At 47.0% G+C, this 17,935-nt stretch overlaps 2 annotated features.

The window, feature by feature from the left end:
* Nucleotides 13,098–13,672: an enhancer, noted in NCBI's record as "H3K27ac hESC enhancer chr1:113334060-113334634 (GRCh37/hg19 assembly coordinates)". NCBI's record gives its function as "activates a minimal SCP1, AML or CMV promoter by ChIP-STARR-seq in naive H9 embryonic stem cells {active_cell/tissue: H9 hESC(naive)}" and the evidence as "EXISTENCE:reporter gene assay evidence [ECO:0000049][PMID:30033119]".
* Nucleotides 13,673–14,245: an enhancer, noted in NCBI's record as "H3K27ac-H3K4me1 hESC enhancer chr1:113334635-113335207 (GRCh37/hg19 assembly coordinates)". NCBI's record gives its function as "activates a minimal SCP1, AML or CMV promoter by ChIP-STARR-seq in naive H9 embryonic stem cells {active_cell/tissue: H9 hESC(naive)}" and the evidence as "EXISTENCE:reporter gene assay evidence [ECO:0000049][PMID:30033119]".

The following is a 17,935-nucleotide window of genomic DNA, read 5'->3' on the forward strand; positions in this document are numbered from 1 at the left end:
GTAAATGGCACCACCCACCAGTCAGCCAAGGCAGAAACCTGATGTCATCCTGAGTCCTCCCTTTGCTCAGCCCTAACCATTTCATGGTAATTCACAGAAGCAGCACTGGGCATGTAGTGGGATCCAGGCACAGTGCTGGGTGCTAGCAGTACAAAGACTATTTAGGCACAGTATCTGCCCTCAAGGAGCTCACACTCAAGTGGAAAATTATGATGGAGAGTTATGCAATCTAGTGGGATCACCTCTTATATTATTTTCTCTATTTTACATATGGAGAGACTATAAAAGCACTAGTTGCCCACGGCTGGTAAGCGGCATGATTAGGACTCAAATTCAGCTCTGTGTGACTCTACAAAGCATTTTCTTCTGTCCTTTGGGCGGCCAGAAATTCCTGCCCATTTTATCTTCTAGTGTTGAAGTCTTCTCCATTGCTAATGTCGGTGACTTAGTGTTAAGCTCATGGTCTCTCCCATGGACCATTAACATTTCCGTCTAATTGGCCTCCTTGCCTTGCTGCCTCCAATTCCACCTCTAAATAGCTGCCAAAGTGATCTTGGAAAGCAGAAATCAGGTCTTGCCATTCCCTGCCCAGCAGGGTAAAATCCACACTGCTCAGCAAAACTGCTGAGGCCTTTCATGCCCAGATTCTGCCCACTTTTCTGGCTTCTCAAGTCCCACTATGTCACCTCAGTTCCCCAAACTGGCCTTGGGCAAGTTTCTTAACCACTCTGGGCCCTAGTTTCTTCAATTGCAAAACAAAGATAATAAAATCTACTGTGTAGGTCACTGTGAACACTAAATGAAGAAAATATATCGCCAGGTGTAGTGGCTCACTCCTGTAATCCCAGCACTTTGGGAGGCTGAGGAAGGCGGATCACAAGGTCAGGAGTTTGAGACCAGCCTGGCCAACATGGTGAAACTCCATCTTTACTAAAAATACAAAAATTAGCTGGACATGGTAGCAGGCACCTATAGTCCCAGCTACTCGGGAGGCTGGGGCAAGAGAATCGCTTGAACCCAGGAAGCGGAGGTTGCAGTGAGCCGAGATCATGCCATTGCACTCCAGCCTGGGCGAAAGAGTGAAACTCCATCTTAAAAAAACGAAACAAAACAAAACATACACACACACACACACACACACACACATATATAATTAAAGCTGTTACAGTCACACCTGGCATACGCATTCAGTAAATGTTGCAGATATCACTGTTATTAATGTTGGGACATTTCTCCTCCCTCTCTGCCTAGCAAACCCTAGTCATCTTTCAAGCCTCACCCTCTTAAACTGTAACATCTCAGACATCCCGAGTAGAACTGGCCATTGCTTCTGTGTCCTCACTGTGCACTACACAGCCTTTCAGGATAGATTTATGATATTCTATTCACTCATTAGCTAACCTGTCTGTCTCCTCTCCTAGACTATAAGTCCCTTGATTACAAAGATTGTGTTTCATTGACCTTGCTTCCTAGCACTGAGTACTGTGCCTGGTTGCTGGTCTGTACACAGCAAAGATTTGGCCAGCGGATGTATGAATCAGTAGGTTATTCAGCTTCTCTAGCTAAGGATTTTGACTATCTGGACAGGGGTACCCATAGTCATGCTCCTGACTCTGCCTGGACTCTTCTTGCTGTACCTGGAAGCTTGTGCTTCCCACTCCTGAAAAAGAAGTGGCTAATCTCTTGTCATTCCTGCTTCACAGCACGCCCCTCCCACTACCCCCAACATCTGGCTCTGCCTAATGAAATGCTGGATTATTAATGGCTCCTATTCAGCATGTCCAGTTAAAGCCACCTCCCACAGCTGTTTGAATTTCATCAGAGGCTTCGGCAAGCTTTCTATCCCCAAATCTTTCAGCCCCAAAGCCACATTTGGAGGGGAGATTTCAATAAGGAACGTTCAGGTCAGTAGCAGCCTATCTGCAGGCTGGTTTCTATCCCCCTCTGTCCCTTCATTTCTATGTGTGGAGGAAGCAAGTGGGAGCCGTGGAGGGAGCCAGGATGACAAAGGGAACGCAACGATCCATTATTTCCTCTCAGAACAAATTAATTTGTGTCTAAGGAAATCTGAGTCAAGCTTTACTGGAGGGGCTGGAGACAGCAGAAGGGATGTAAGATGAAAAATGAAGGCCTGGCGGGGCGCGGTGGCTCACGCTTGTAATCCCAGCACTTTGGGAGGCCGAGGTGGGCAGATCACGACATCAGGAGTTTGAGACCAGCCTGACTAATATGATGAAACCCCGTCTCTACTAAAAATACAAAAATTAGCCAGGCATGGTGATGCATGCCTGTAATCCCAGCTACTCAGGAGTCTGAGGCAGGAGAATCGCTTGAACCTGGCAGGCGGAGGTTGCAGTGAGCCGAGATCGTGCCATTGCACTCCAGCCTGAGTGACAGAGTGACAGAGCGAGACTCCGTCTCAAAAAAAAAAAAAAAAAAAAAAGAAGGCCTTCTTGGATTTAGGCCTAGAGACATCCAAACTCAGTTGCCTATTCTTCCTACCTCTGCTGCTTGGAGACTATTGCTGGAGGGCTCAAAGGACCATCTCTTCCTTCTACTTAATACATTCTGAGGCCAGTTGGTTTCCTTTATTCTTTTTTTTTTCTTTTTGTGGCTGGGTCTTGCTGTGTTGCCCAGGCTGGAGTGCAGTGTTGGAATCATAGCTCACCACAACCTCGACTTCCTGGGATCAAGCAATTTTCCCAGTCTCTTGGGTAACTCAGTCTCTTGGGTAGCTGGGACTACAGGCACATGCCACCATGCCTGGCTAATTTTTTATTTTTTGTAGAAAGAAAGTCTCACTATTTTTCCCAGGCTGGTCTTGAGCTCTTAGGCTCAAGCAATCCTTCTGCCTCAGCCTCCCAAAGTGCTGGGATAATAGGTGTGAGCCACCGCTCCCAGTCAGCTTCCTTTGCTAACTCTTGTCAGCTCTGGGATTGGCATAATTTTTGTCTCTATGGAAAGTTGATGGCCGGAAAGTTGATGGTGGGACATTACTGTGGGCCCTGGCACCAGCAGGATCTAGATATGCCTTTGGACAAGTTATGCTCTTCTCTGGGCCTCAGTTTCCTAATTGATAAATCAGGAAGTAGAATCTCAGGCAGGTTTACTTCACATGGCTGTTGTGAGGGTAAAGTGTTACCTGGTACATTGCCTGCTTATTCACCAGACCATCTCAGAGTTATCCTGTTCCTAGAACCTGAGAAAGTCTCTGACATGTAGTAGGAGCTCAATGAAACATGTTACATTCGTCAATTCTTGCATTGCTATAAAGAAATAACTAAAACTAGAACATTTATTTATTTATTTATTTATTTATTTATTTTTGAGATGGAGATCTCGCTCTGTTGCTCAGGGTAGAAGAAATGGCATGATATCGGCTCACTGCAACCTCTGCCTCCCAGGTACAAGTGATACTCCTGTCTCAGCCTCCTGAGTAGCTGGAATTACAAGTGCCCGCCACAACATCTGGCTAATTTTTGTATTTTAGTAGAGATGGGGTTTCACCAGGTTGGCCAAGCTGGTCTCCAACTCCTGACCTCAGGTGATCCACCTGCCTCAGCCTCCCAAAGTGCTGAGATTACAGGAGTAAGCCACCACGCCTGGCCAGACTGGGTAATTTGTTAAAGAAAAGAGGTTTAATTGGCTCACAGTTCTGCAGGCTGTACAGGAAGCATGATGCTGACATCTGCTTAGCTTCTGGACAGGCCTTAGGAAACTTACAATCATGGCGGAAGGCAAAGGGGAAACAGGCATGACTTACATGGCCAGAGCAAGAGCAAGAATGAGAGAGGGGATGTGCTACACACTTTTAAATTAGATCTTGTTAGAACTCTATCACTATACAGTACCAAGGGGGGATGGTGTTAAACCATGAGAAACTGCCCCCATAATCCAATCACTTCCCACCAGATCCCACCTCCAACACTGGGGATTACAATTTGACATGAGATTTGGGTGGGGACACAGATCCCCACCCATATCATTCTGCCACTGGTCCCTCCCAAATCTCATGTCCTTCTCACATTGCAAAATTCAATCACATCTTCCCAACAGTTCCCCGAAGTCTTAACTCATTCTAGCATTAACTTAAAAGCCCAAAGCCCAAAGTCTCATCTGAAACAAGGCTAGTCCCCTCTACCTATGAGCCTGTAAAATAAAAAACAAGTTAGTTACTTCCAAGATACAATGGGGGTATAGACATTGGGTAAACATTCCCATTCCAAAGGGGAAAAATCAGCCAAAGAAAGGGGCTATAAGCCCCACATAAATCTGAAACCCTAAAGGGCAGTCATTAAATCTTAAAGCTCCAAAATAATCTCTCTTTACCTCATGTCTCACATCCAGGACACACTGGTATGAGGGGTGGGTTCCCAAGGCCTTGGGCAGCTACACTCCTGAAGCTTTACAGGGTTCAGACCCCATGACTACTCTCATGAACTGGCATTGAGTGCCTGTGGTTTTTCCAGGTGCAGGGTGCAAGCTGCTGGTGGATCTGCCATTCTGGGGTCTGGAGGATGGCGGCCACTTTCTTACAGCTGCACTAGGCAGTTCCCCAGTGGGGATTCTGTGTGGGGGCTCCAATCCTGCAGCAGGCTTCTAGGTAGACATCCAGGCTCTCCTCTGCACCACCCTAGTAGAGGTTCTCCATGAGGGCTCTGCCCTTGCAGCAAGTTTCTGCCTGGACATCTAGGCTTTTTCATAATCCTCTGAAATCTAGGCAGAGGCTCCTAAGCCTCAACTCTTGCACTCTGAGCACCTGCAGGCTTAACACCATGTGGAAGCCACCAAGGCTGATGGTTTGCACCCTCTAAAGCAGTGCCCTGAGCTGTACATGGGCACCTTTGGGCCAAGATTGGAGCTGGAGTGGCTGGCACACAGGGAGCAGTGTCCCAAGGCTTCCACAGGGTGTGGGGCACTGGGCCTGGCCAGGAAACCATTCTTCCCTCCTAGACCTCCAGACCTGTGATGGGAGGGGCTTCCCAGAAGGGCTCTGAAATACCTTCAAGGCCTTTTCCCCATTTTCTTGGCTATTAGCACTTGGCTCCTCTTTACTTATGTATATTTCTACAGCCTGCTTGAATTTCTCCCTTGAAAATTGGCTTTTCTTTTCTACTACATGACCACACTGCAAATTTTCCAAATTTTAATGCTCTGCTTCCCTTTTAAATGTAAGTTCCAATTTCAGGTTATTTCTGTGTTCATGTGTATGGACATAGGTTGTTAGAAGCAGCCAGGCTACATCTTGAACACTTTGCTGCTTAGACATTTCTTCTGCTGGATACCCTAAATCATCTCTCTCAAGTTTAAAGTTCCATATATGCCTAGGGCAGGGGCAAAATCCAACCAAGCTCTTTGCTGAAGCATAGCCAAAGTGACCTTTATTTCAGTTCCCATTAAGTTCTTCCTCTCTCTGAGACCTCCTCAGCCTGTACTTCGCTGTCCATATCACTATCAGCATTTTGGCTACAAGAATTTAGCACAGCAGTGTCCAATCTTTTCACTTCCCTGGGCTGCACTGGAAGAAGAAGAATTGTCTTGGGCCACACATAAAATACACTAATACTAACAATAGCTGATGAGCTAAAAAAAATCACAAAAACATTCCATAATTTTTTTTTTTTTTTGAGATGGAGTCTCGCTCTGTTGCCAGGCTGGAGTGCAGTGGTATGATCTCGGCTCACTGCAACCTCTGCCTCCTGGGTTGAAGTGATTCTCTTGCCTCAGCCTCCCAAATAGCTGGGACTACAGGCACACACCACCACACCCTGCTAATTTTTGTATTTTTAGTAGAGATGGAGTTTCACCATGTTGGCCAGGATGGCCTCGATCTCTTGACCTCATGATCCACCCACTTTGGCCTCCCAAAGTGCTGGGATTAAGGTGTGAGCCACTGCGCCCAGCCAACATTTCATAATGTTTTAAGAAAGATTATGAATTTGTGCTGGGCTGCATTCAAAGCCATTCTGGTTTGCGTGTGGCCCATGGGCTGCTGGTCGGAGAAGCTTGATTTAACACATCTCTAGGAAGTTCCAAAGTTTCCCTCATCTTCCTGCCATCTTCTGACCTTCCACACTGTTCCAGCCTCTTTCCATTACCCATCTCCAAAGGTGCTTCCACATTTTCAGGTATCTTTATAGCAATGCCCCACTCCTTGGTACCAGTTTTCTGTGTTAGTTTGTGGGGTTTTTTTGGTTTTTGTTTTTTTTGGTTTTTTTTTTTTTTTGAGATGGAGTTTCACTCTTTTTGCCCAGGCTGGAGTGCAATGGCGCAATCTTGGGTCACTGCAACCTCCGCATCCCAGGTTCAAGTAATTCTCCTGCCTCAGCCTCCTGAGTACCTGGGGTTACAGGTGCCCACCACCATGCCCAGCTAAATTTTTTTGTATTTTTAGTAGAGATGAGGCTTCACCATATTGGCCAGGTTGGTCTCCAACTCCTGACCGCAGGTGCTCCACCAACCTCGGCCTCCCAAAGTGCCGGGATTACAAGCGTGAGCAACCGTGCCTGGCCCTAGTTTGTTCTTACATTGCTATAAAGAAATACTTTTCTCTTTCTTTTTTTTTTTTTTTTTTTTGAGCTGGAGTCTCACTCTGTCGCCAGGCTGGAATGCAGTGGCGCGATCTTGGCTCACTGCAACCTCTGCCTCCCAGGTTCAAGCGATTCTCCTGCCTCAGCTTCCCGAGTAGCTGGGACTACAGGTGCGCACCACCATGCCCAGCTAATTTTTTTATTTTTAGTAGAGACTGGTTTTCACCATGTTGGCCAGGAAGGTCTTGATCTCTTGACCTCGTGATCTGCCCGCCTTGGCCTCCCAAAGTGTTGGGATTACAGGCATGAGCCACTGCTCCCGGCAAGGAATTATTTTAAGCCTGTAATCCCAGCAGTTTGGGAGGCTGAGGCGGGCGGATCACAAGGTCAGGAGTTTGAGACCAGCCTGGCCAACATGGTGAAACCTTGTCTCTACTAAAAATACAAAAATTAGCCAGGCATGATGCCACGTGCCTGTATTCCCAGCTACTCGGGAGGCTGAGGCAGGAGAATTGCTTGAACCCAGGAGGCAGAAGTTGCAGTGAGCAGAGATCATGCCACTGCACTCCAGCCTGGGCAAGAGGGCAAGACTCTGTCTCAAAAAAAAAAAAAAAAAAAGGCCAGGTGTGATGGCTCACGCCTGTAATCCCAGCACTTTGGGAGGCCGAGGCAGGCGGATCACCTCAGGTCGGGAGTTCGAGGCCAGCCTGACCAACATGGAGAAACCCCGTCTCTACTAAAAATACAAAATTAGCCAGGCATGGTGGTGCATGCCTGTAATCCCAGCTAATTGGGAGGCTGAAGCAGGAGAATTGCTTGAACTCAGGAGGCAGAGGTTGCAGTGAGCCGAGATTGCACCATTGCACTCCAGCCTGGGCAACAAGAGCAAAACTCTGTCTCAAAAAAAAAAAGAAAGAAAGAAAGAAAGAAAGAAAGAAAAAAGAAAAGAAAAAAAAAGAAACACCTAAGACTGAGTAATTTTATTTATTTATTTATTTTTGAGACAGAGTCTCGCTCTGTCGCCCAGGCTGGAGTGCAGTGGCGTGATCTTGGCTCGCTGCAACCTTTGCCTTCTGGGTTCAAGCAATTCTCTGGTCTCAGCCTCCTGAGTAGCTGGGACTACAGGCACCCAACACCACAACTGGCTAATTTTTGTATTTTTAGTAGAGATGGGGTTTCACCATATTGGTCAGGCTGGTCTCAAACTCCTGACCTCAGGTTTTTCCCCTGCCTCGGCCTCCCAAAGTGCTGGGATTACAGGCATTAGCCACTGTGCCCAGCCAAGACTGGGTAATTTATTAAAGAAAAGAAATTGGCATTCTCCTGCCTCAGCCTCCTGAGTAGCTGGGATTACAGGCGCCCGCTACCATGCCCGGCTAATTTTTTGTATTTTTAGTAGAGACGGGATTTCACCGTGTTAGCCAGGATGGTCTTGATCTCCTGACCTCGTGATCCGCCCGCCTCGGCCTCCCAAAGTGCTGGGATTACAGGTGTGAGCCACCACGCCCAGCCTGACATTAAATCGACCAGCCTTTTGAGTGCTTCAGTGAGAGATTTTATGCAGAATCGCAGCCAAGACAAAAAGACAATCTGAGAGCAGGCACACACATTTTAGAGGACAAAATAATGAAATTTCTTTATCAGTTCCATCATTATATTTTTTTCATTAAAAAAAAAAAGAAATTGGCTGGGCACAGTGGCTCACGCCTATAATTCCAGCACTCTGGGAGGCTGAGGTGGGTGGATCACCTGAGGTCAGGAGTTTTAGACTAGCCTGGCCAACATGGTGAAATCCCGCCTCTACTAATAATACAAAAAAAAATAGCTGGGCGTGGTGATGCACACCTGTAATCTCAGCTTCTCGGGAGGCTGAGGCAGGCAGGACAATTGCTTGAACCCGGGAAGGGGAGGTTGCAGTCTGCCGAGATTGCGCCATTGCACTCCAGCCTGGGCAAAAAGAGTGAGACTCTGTTTCAAAAAAAAAGAAAAGAAAGAAAGAAGAGGTTTAGGCTGGGCTTGGTGGCTCATGCCTGTAATCCCAGCACTTTGGGAGGCTGAGGCGGGCAGATAACCTGAGGTCAGGAGTTCAAGACTAGCCTGACCAACATGGACAAACCCTGTCTCTACTAAAAATACAAAATTAGAGCTCGGCACGGTGGCTCACGCCTGTAATCCCAGCACTTTGGGAGGCCGAGGCAGGCAGATCACAAGGTCAGGAGATTGAGACCATTCTGGTTAACACGGTGAAACCCCATCTCTACTAAAAATACAAAAAATTAGCTGGGCGTTGTGGTGGGCGCCTGTAGTCCCAGCTACTCGGGAGGCTGAGGCAGGAGAATGACCTGAACCCGGGAGGAGGAGCTTGTAGTGAGCGTAGTGAGCAGAGATGGCACCACTGCACTCCAGCCTGAGAGACAGTGAGACTCTGTCTCCAAAAAAAAAAAAAATAATACAAATTTAGCTGGGCGTGGTGGCTCATGCCTCTAATCCCAGTTACTCGGGAGGCTGAGGCAGGAGAATTGCTTGAACCAGGGAGGTGGAGGTTGTAGTGAGCTAAGAGATCATGCCATTGCACTCCAACCTGGGCAACAAGAGTGAAACTCCATCTCAAAAAAATAATAATAGTAAAAAAAAAGGGGTTTAATTAATTTACAGTTCCACCAACTGTATAGGAAGCATGATGCTGGTATCTGCTCAGCTTCTGGGGAAGCCTCAGTCAACTTACAATCATGGCCGAAGGCAAAGGGGAAGCAGACACATCTTACATGGCCAGAGTAGGACTGAGAGAGAGAGAGATGCTACACACTTTTATTTTTATTTTATTTTTTGAGACTGAGTCTCACTCTGTCACCCAAGCTGGAGGGCAGTGGTGGGATCTCAGCTCACTGCAGTCTCCACCTCCCAGTTCAAGCAATTCCCTGCATCAGCCTCCCAAGTAGCTGGGATTACGGGTGCTCACCAGCATGCCCAGCTCATTTTTGTATTTTTAGTAGAGATGGGGTTTCACCACGTTGGCCAGGCTGGTCTCAAACTGTTGACCTCATTGATCTGCCCACCTCAGCCTCCCAAATTGCTGGGATTACAAGTGTGAGCCACCGCACCCAGCCAACACACTTTTAAACGACCAAATCTCCTGAGAACTCTATCACTATACAGGACCAAGCGGGGATGGTGTTAAACCATGAGAGACCACCCCCATGATCCAATCACCTCCCACCAGGCCCCACCCCCCATATTGAGGATTATAATTCAACATGAGATTCGGGCAGAGATGCAGATCCAAACCATATCACATGAGGAATAAATTGTTGTAAAAGTGCTCATCAGCACCACTACACTGCAGCCTAGGCAACAGAGTGAGACTCTCTCTCAAAAACAAAACAAAACACACACATACAAAATGTGCTCATCAGCTGTCTAATACTTTACACAGGATTATGTTTATTGCTGCTCAGTCTAATTTATGGCCCCGTCAGCCACACTGACTACTTCAGACAAGACACAGAGCAAAGAAATATCACCTTGTGTGTCCCCTCTCCCAACACTATCTTCTTTCCCAATGACAGGGGTGGGGTATGTTCTATCATGCCCCTCTTCAATCTTTCATATTTCTACATGACCTTAGGCTTTCTAAATGCTCTCACATCCATTATCATATTTAATCTTATTCCAATTGTTGAAGAAAGCAGGTCAAGTGGGGAAGCCAAGGCCCAGCATGGTGAAGTGATCTGCTCAGGGACATACCATGTGGAAACAGCTTCAGGGTCCCCATCTTTCTCTGGCTTCTCTGACCTCCTCATCTGTTTATGTACTGTTCTCTCTGCTGCAGATGCTGTTCCTTTTATTAACTGCTACCTCAAGACTCATCTCAGGTGGCAGCTCTCCAGGAACTCTTTCTTCACTTTTCTAAGCCTGGGTGAGAGGCCTCTCCAAGCACTCCTTCCCACTGTATCTACCTCTCTCATAGCATGGATCTAGTCTGTGTCTGCCACATGAGACTGGGAGCTTCCAGAGGGTATGGACTGTCATTAATTTCTATATCTGTGTACCCAGCACAGTACCTGGCACATTGCCTTTAAAATGTCTGATAAATGAATGGATGGATGAGCAATGCATAGATAGAGTGGTAGTGTCGTTTGCCTAAGGTCACTCAGCTAGAATTATAAACTGAAAAACAAATGTTTAAAGAAGGTTGAAGCTGGGCACAGTGGCTCGTGCCTGTAATCCCAGCAGGAGGCTGAGGCAGGAGGATCACTTGATGCCAAGAGTTCAAGGCTGCAGTGAGCTATAATTGTGCCACCGCATTCCAGCCTGGACAAGAGAGCAAGGCCCTGTCTCTAGGGGAAAAACGTTGAAAAACTACGAACTCAAGATTTTTCCTAAGTATTTTCCAGTATCTCAGACCAGGTGTTCTGGCTTCTAGTGCCACATGCTCCCCATTGCCCTCTCATGAGTGCCCATCGCAGAATGGAGGTGCAAGGGAGTAAGACTCTGGACCTGTTATTTATAGCCTGTTGAGGAAGCACCAGAGCTTGAAAACCTGTCCCAGAAAGGTAAATGGTGTCCCTCAGCTCCTTTGCTGACCCAGGGTCACTTCCTCTTGCATTTCTTGTTTTTTTTTTGAGGCGGATTCTCGCTCTGTTGCCCAGGCTGGAGTGCAGTGGCGCGATCTGGGCTCACTGCAAACTCTGCCTCCCGGGTTCATGCCATTCTCCTGCCTCAGCCTCCCGAGTAGCTGGGACTACAGATGCCCGCCAACATGCCCGGCTAATTTTTTGTATTTTTAGTAGAGACGAGGTTTCACCTTGTTAGCCAGGATGGTCTCAATCTGCTGACCTTGTGATCTGCCCGTCTCGGCCTCCCAAAGTGCTGGGATTACAGGCGTGAGCCACCACGCCCGGCCTCTTCCTCTTGCATTTCTGATTCCCACACCTTGCAAGGCAAGTATGGCCATTCAGACATATGGTTCCTAAACTTTTCAAACCCCTTTAACAGGGAAGGGTGCTAATGACCTGAGGTCTTACACACTCCCCCGTACTGGGATTTGCACAACTTGGTGAGGGCAAGTCATTCCATCCTGAACCCCTAGATGTGCCCCATTAGGAGCTCTAGGGAAGCCCAGCAACTACTGCTGTTAGTGCTGCTACTGCAGAGCCAGAAGTTAAGGCACCAAAAATGGAAGTGTCTTATATTGGATTGAATTCCTCTGAAACAGATCCTGAGACAAGGATGTAAGTGCAAAGCATTTTTTGGGAGGTAATCTCAGGAAACACCCATCAGGAGTGGTAAAGTGAGATAGGGAAGGAAAGGAAGTTAATGAAGGGATGTTACCAAGCCAGTTACCACTGTAGGCAACTGGAGCCCTATCCTACTGGGGAACGTCAGGAGATGATATGGGACATGCTGTCATGAGGCAACTCAGGACAAGGAAGCCAGGTGCTTATGCCCCACCCTTTTACCACTTGCCATTTTGCCTCTGGGGCCTTCCACTCTCTGGCACTTCTAGTTTGCCAGGCATGTAGATGTTCTAAGTGGGCAGCCTTGGATGGGCAGAGGTGAATGCCAAGGGCATGTGGATGGGACCTAGGCAAAGCTCACTGAGGTCTCATCAGCATTCTAGCCTGGCTTGGTGTCAACTGAGCTTCATCCTCATCTTCTGTAAAAGGAAGGGAATGATCCATCTCTCCAGCTAGGTGGTGTGAAGTTAGTGGAGATAAAGGTATGGTGGAGCGGGATGATTGACAATTAGAACTAATGCCAACTCCCCATCTCCTGGCACATTAGAGAGAGATTTAGAAGTCAAACACCAAAGAGAATGCCAGTCAGGTTGACTCCAAGGGGAAATGGCTTTAGATTTAGATCTTGATGAAATTTCTGAGTTGGCTGATGATAGAAGCAGGAGCTCCCCAGCCTGCACACAACTACTGGTCAATTCACACCCAACCCACACCAAACCTCAAGGAAGAAAAATCGCTTTCTTCTCAGCTCCAAACTTTGGTTCAATTATTATTCCCCAGTGGACAGGAACTGCCAGGGAAGAAGGACAAAGCTGCTATGGTAATGAAGGACTGTTTACTGATCAGCAGGAAGGAAGGGCAGCCAGAATGAGGTCAGGAACAGATGAATCTGCCCCATTGGGTGGATGGCATGTGTGATTTATAAGCTCTCTCCCTTGAAGATCCAAAAGTTTCTGAGTGGGGAGGGGAATGAAGAATGAAGGAAAGGACTAAGATAGAGACAGAAGTCTGTTTATTCTTCCCTTTCCGCATTATCAGTCAAGGCAGTAAATTCAGCAAATCTACTCGACACTAATCTTGTTAGACTAATTGACTATAATTCAGTTCACTGTGGGGATAATCAGATTTGTGTAAACTTTCACAATAGTCTCCAAAGGCTTCATATATCTTGACGGATATAGTCTTTAAAATGCCCGTGCCCTGGTCTTAGAATGGGAGAGGAGACACCGCAGGCTGGTGGGAAGGAGCGGCTTCAGAACCCAAAGAGATGCACAGAGCCACCCCTTATCTTAGCCCCGCTTTTAGGCCTTCACTCCACCCCCTCCTGGTGAGCTGGCTCCAAAGCTGATGGATGGGACTGAGACTGGCCTGGGTTGGCAGATAGGCATATCTTACGAATGACAGGGTAGTCACCCTGCACCCTTCCAAATCTAATTGTCCGATAATTGCTGATCCAATCAGGAGTGTGTCTGGCATATAATCATCAACAATAAAGGCAATTCTTGTGATTATTAGTCAAGATAATGCATATAAACTTGTTAAAAGGTAAACTTGGGCACACTGAAATTTTAAAGAGTTTATTTGAGTGGACAGCAACTCATGAATCACGCAGGGCCAAATCACAAGCAGTTTGGGTTCCACCAATGGGTGCAAGGAAAAACCTTTTATAAGGTGTTTGGGAAACACAAAGAAAATATTTGCTTGGTTGAAGTGTAAAGTCCCTGCTTGGTCGTTAGCTGGCGGTTTCATATTGGTGAAATCTTTAAAATGAGCATAGTTGGCAGTTTCTGATTGGTTTAGCTTAACTTTCACTTTATGGTTTACGTTGACTTTGATTTTAGTTTGTTTATGTAGGAACTGAAGGTGCTGAAGCCATCTCAGCCTAATGGCCTCTGTGGACAAAAGCAGTCAAACTCTGTAAAATATTTGACAAGGTTTATTCTGAGCCAAATATGAGTGACCAATGGCTCATGACCCAGCCCTCAGGAGATCCTGAGAACATGCACCCAAGGTGGATGGGCTACAACTTGGCTTTATACATTTTAGGGAGACAGAAAACACCAATCAATACATGTTAGATGTACATTGCTTCAGTCTGGAAAGATGGGACAATTGAAGTGCTCTCAGGTAGATTCAAAGATTCTCTGATTGGCAATTGGTTGAAAGAGTTAAGTTATTGTCTAAAGACTTAGAATCACTAGAAAGGAATGTCTGGGCTAAGATAAGGGCTTGTGGAGATGAAGGTTTTATCATGCAGAGAAGGCTGGGCGCAGTGACTCACGCCTGTAATCCCAGCACTTTGGAAGGCCAAGGCGGGCGGATCATGAGGTCAGGAGTTCAAGACCAGCCTGACCAACATGGTGAAACCCCGTCTCTACTAAAAATACAAAAACTAGCTGGGCATGGGGACGTGTGCCTGTAATCCCAGCTACTCAGGAGGCTGAGGCAGGATAATCGCTTAAACCCAGGAGGCAGAGGTTGCAGTGAGCTGAGATCACGCCATTGCACTCCAGCCTGGGTGACAGAGTGAGACTCCATCTCAAAAAAGCAAACAGGCCGGGCGCCGTGGCTCACGCCTGTAATCCCAGCACTTTGGGAGGCCGAGGCGGGCAGATGAGGAGGTCAGGAGATTGAGACCATCCTGGCTAACACAGTGAAACCCTGTCTGTACTAAAAAAAAATACAAAAAATCAGCTGGGCATGGTGGTGGGCGCCTGTAATTCCAGCTACTCAGGAGACTGAGGCAGGAGAATCACTTGAACCCGGGAGGCAGAGGTTGCAGTGAGCTGAGATCGTGCCACTGCACTCCAGCATGGGTGACAAGAGTGAGACTCCGTCTCAAAAAAAAAAAGATATCATGCAGAGGAAGCCTCCAGGTAGCAGGCTTCAGAGAGAATAGATTGTAAATGTTTCTCATCATACTTAAAGAGTCTGTTCCATCAGTCTTAAGGTCTATGTTGATGATAATGCTGGTCAGCATTATCCCCAAAAGTGAGGAAGGTATAATAAGGTGTGTCTGAACACCCCCTCCCATCATGGCCTGAATTGGTTTTTCAGGTCAACTTTGAAATGTCCTTGGTGGAGAGGAAGGTTCCATTCAGATGGTCGGGGGACTTAGAATTTTATTTTTGGTTTACACCCCCCAGTTAAGTATTTTAAATAACGTACATAGCATTGTGTTTGGCATACAGCAAATGCTGAAAAATGTTACCCATTATTATCAAGAAAAAAGTCCTTTTGACCTTAGAGATCTCCCAGTCTAATGGGTATGAGGATTGCAAGAGAAGGTGTCAGGAGCTCAGGAGAGGAGGAAAGGGAGAGAGAGAGCTGAGCTTTCAGGTGTTGAAGTTGATGATTAAAGCAAGCTGTAAATAAAAACATTAAGCCTTTAGTTACTGTGATAGTATAAGCGAGGGGCTAAAACTGGGGGAAGCACCGGCATCCCCTGTTCCAGCTTTCGTGAGACAGCAGCGCACCAGTTGAAGGTCAGGTGGATCAGCATAGACCTAGGGTTTCACTGTTGAGAAAGCCCCCAACAAAAGGCTGTGGCCGCTTTATGGACCTTGGAGTTGAGGAAGGGCAAGGGGAAAGGTCTAGAAGTGAAGTCCTGAGTACTGAGTTAGAGTGGAGAACAGTATCTTCAAGGTTTTCTTCCTTCCCCCGATTAAGGAGACCTGGACAGAAGTCCTCTGAAGAGGTCACCTGAAGAGAACCTCTGCCTGAGGCCTCAGAGAAAGAGATGTAGGAATGTGGGGCACTGAATGGGCTAGGAATGTAGATATGTATAAGAACATGGCCCACAGCAGGCCTTGAGACCTTGACTGCGGCTCCCTCCAAGGCTGAGATGCACTAGTGGTAAGCTGAGACTGCTGCAGGAGGGCAGCCTGCCTGGGAGACCTGGCAGGTGAAGCCTTCCTAACTGCTGTGAAGCAGGCTCACTTTTGTGAATCCAGTGAGACCAAACACAATGATACTTGAGTTATATGAAGCAGGTTTATCACTTACAGGTAGGCAGCAAAGGACAACAGATGCCAAGGACTCACTGTGACCCAGTTCTCCATGGCTCAGAAAGCTGCCCGGGGCGGGGAGTCTCCACTGCGCGTGCCCCTGTAAGGCAGTCCACCTGGGTTATATACCTTGGGGTCACATGACACACAGGACTCGTGTTGAAGGCCATGCTGTGCAAGGGGGGACTGGAACAGAGCCCGGGCTGTTCCAGCCAACTTTCCCCTTATCTCAGGATTTTGCATTCCCAGCACATTCTATAGTTATTCTTGAGAACTACAAGCAAGAAAGGAGAACTGGGTGGTTCAGGCCTTGTGTCAAGGCTGAAAAATCACATGTGGGTTTTTAATCGGGAGCCAGACTCCTCAGAAGGTTGACAATAAGGGAATGTCAGATCAGCAATGTTTTCTACAAGGCAAGACCAGGCCAGTGAATATAAGGTTAGGAACAGAAGCACGGAAACTTGAATGAGTTAGCCCGTGCTTTGAACTTAGGAGTTCTAATCAACTTTGCAGGCGAGGACACTGAAATAGTTCAAGACTTTGTTTTCAGTGAGTCTCTCTGGTCTCTTCTCTTTCGAGATCCCAGTTGGTGTTATAGAGAGGAAAGAAAAACTGAAACAAGGCAACTGTGTTTTCATTCTGATAAGATCTGTCCACCCGTCACCCTTTCACCTCCACCCCACTACCCCCAGCTATCTGCAAGGCCACTGGCTATGAAAGTAACAAGTTCCCTTTAGTGTGAAGAGGACTCTAGGACTTCACACTGTTTAGGGGGAGCAGAAGACGGCCCTGGGGAATGCAAGAAGTTTCTCTGCTACAAAAGAGTTGGCAAATAAGTTTTCATTTCAAGTAATTTTCTCCCCTTTGTCCTTTAACCCCAGGAGATTAGAGAAATGGTTACTGACAGTTCTTGTAATTTGCATTTCAAAGTGGTGTATGCAAAAATAACACATTTCAGCACTCACTCCATTAGCATATTAAAACAAATTGGCTTTGGGTCCTTGCCATTTATTTCATTCTAACTCCAAGTCCCCTAATGCATTTAGGAAAAAAAGAAGGGAGGTAAGGAAGAGACAAAAGTGGAGCAGGGCCCAGGTGCGATGGCTCACACCTGTATTCCCAGCACTTTGGGAGGCTGAGGCGGGCGGATCACCGGAGGTCGGGAGTTTGAGACCAGCCTGAGCAATATGGAGAAACCCCACCTCTACTAAAAATACAAAATTAGCTGGGCGTGGTGGCGCATGCCTGTAATCCCAGCTACTCGGTAGGCTGAGGCAGGAGAATCACTTGAACCCGGGAGGCAGAGGTTGCGGTGAGCCAAAATCATGTAGCCTGGGCAACAAGAGCGAAGCTCCATCTCAAAAAAAAAAAAAAAAAAAAAGGTGGAGCAGGGACCTGTGGAGCTACCCCTGTGTGTGTGTGTGTGTATATGTGTGCGTGTGTGTGTGTGTGTGTGTGTGTGTGTGTGTGAGAGAGAGAGAGAGAGAGAGACAGAGAGAGAGTGTGTGTATTGGGTACAGAGAAATTCATGGAGGGGATCTGGCCTAAAGGAAACTGCCCCTAATGAATGGAAATTGGTTGGGTGAACTAATTGATTCGTTGAAATGTTTTTCTCTCTCAACTCCCACTCCACCCTCTTGCCTCTAGAGGAAGGAAGGCAAAAAAGAAAGTAGAGAAGGCAGCCTAATTATAATCCCGTCTGGCTGGTGAAGCAGGGAGCACCCAAGGAAGGCTGAAGAGCTCAAGCTTAGGCTCCTGAGGCACCTTCTTCATCTCTGTGCACCCAGGCCCAGGCCTGCGGAATTCCGACACTCCAGATTGAATGGTTGCTGTGAGATGAATGTGGGAAGATGTCCTATCCTCCAGGAAAACGAGAGGACACCTCCTTGGGAGATCCTCTCTACCCCACCACTGTTGTTATTGATCAAAAATCCTCTGGTCTCTTTCGTGGGTGTATTTAGATGATGTGGTTATCTATGAGGGGTTCTTAAAGAAAATAGAAACTGCAGGTGAGGGGAAGTTCAAGTATAATTTTCGAAAAGTTAAAAGATGATTCTCTTGTAAATATATAGTGAGCATTTATTTAACTCATTAATGAGGGAATGGGCAGAATGGTAAAGCCATTTCAAAGAAGGATATATGATACAGTATATATGGACAG

The sequence above is a fragment of the Homo sapiens genome, chromosome 1 (genome assembly GCF_000001405.40).
Source record: "Homo sapiens chromosome 1, GRCh38.p14 Primary Assembly".
Taxonomy (NCBI): domain Eukaryota; kingdom Metazoa; phylum Chordata; class Mammalia; order Primates; family Hominidae; genus Homo; species Homo sapiens.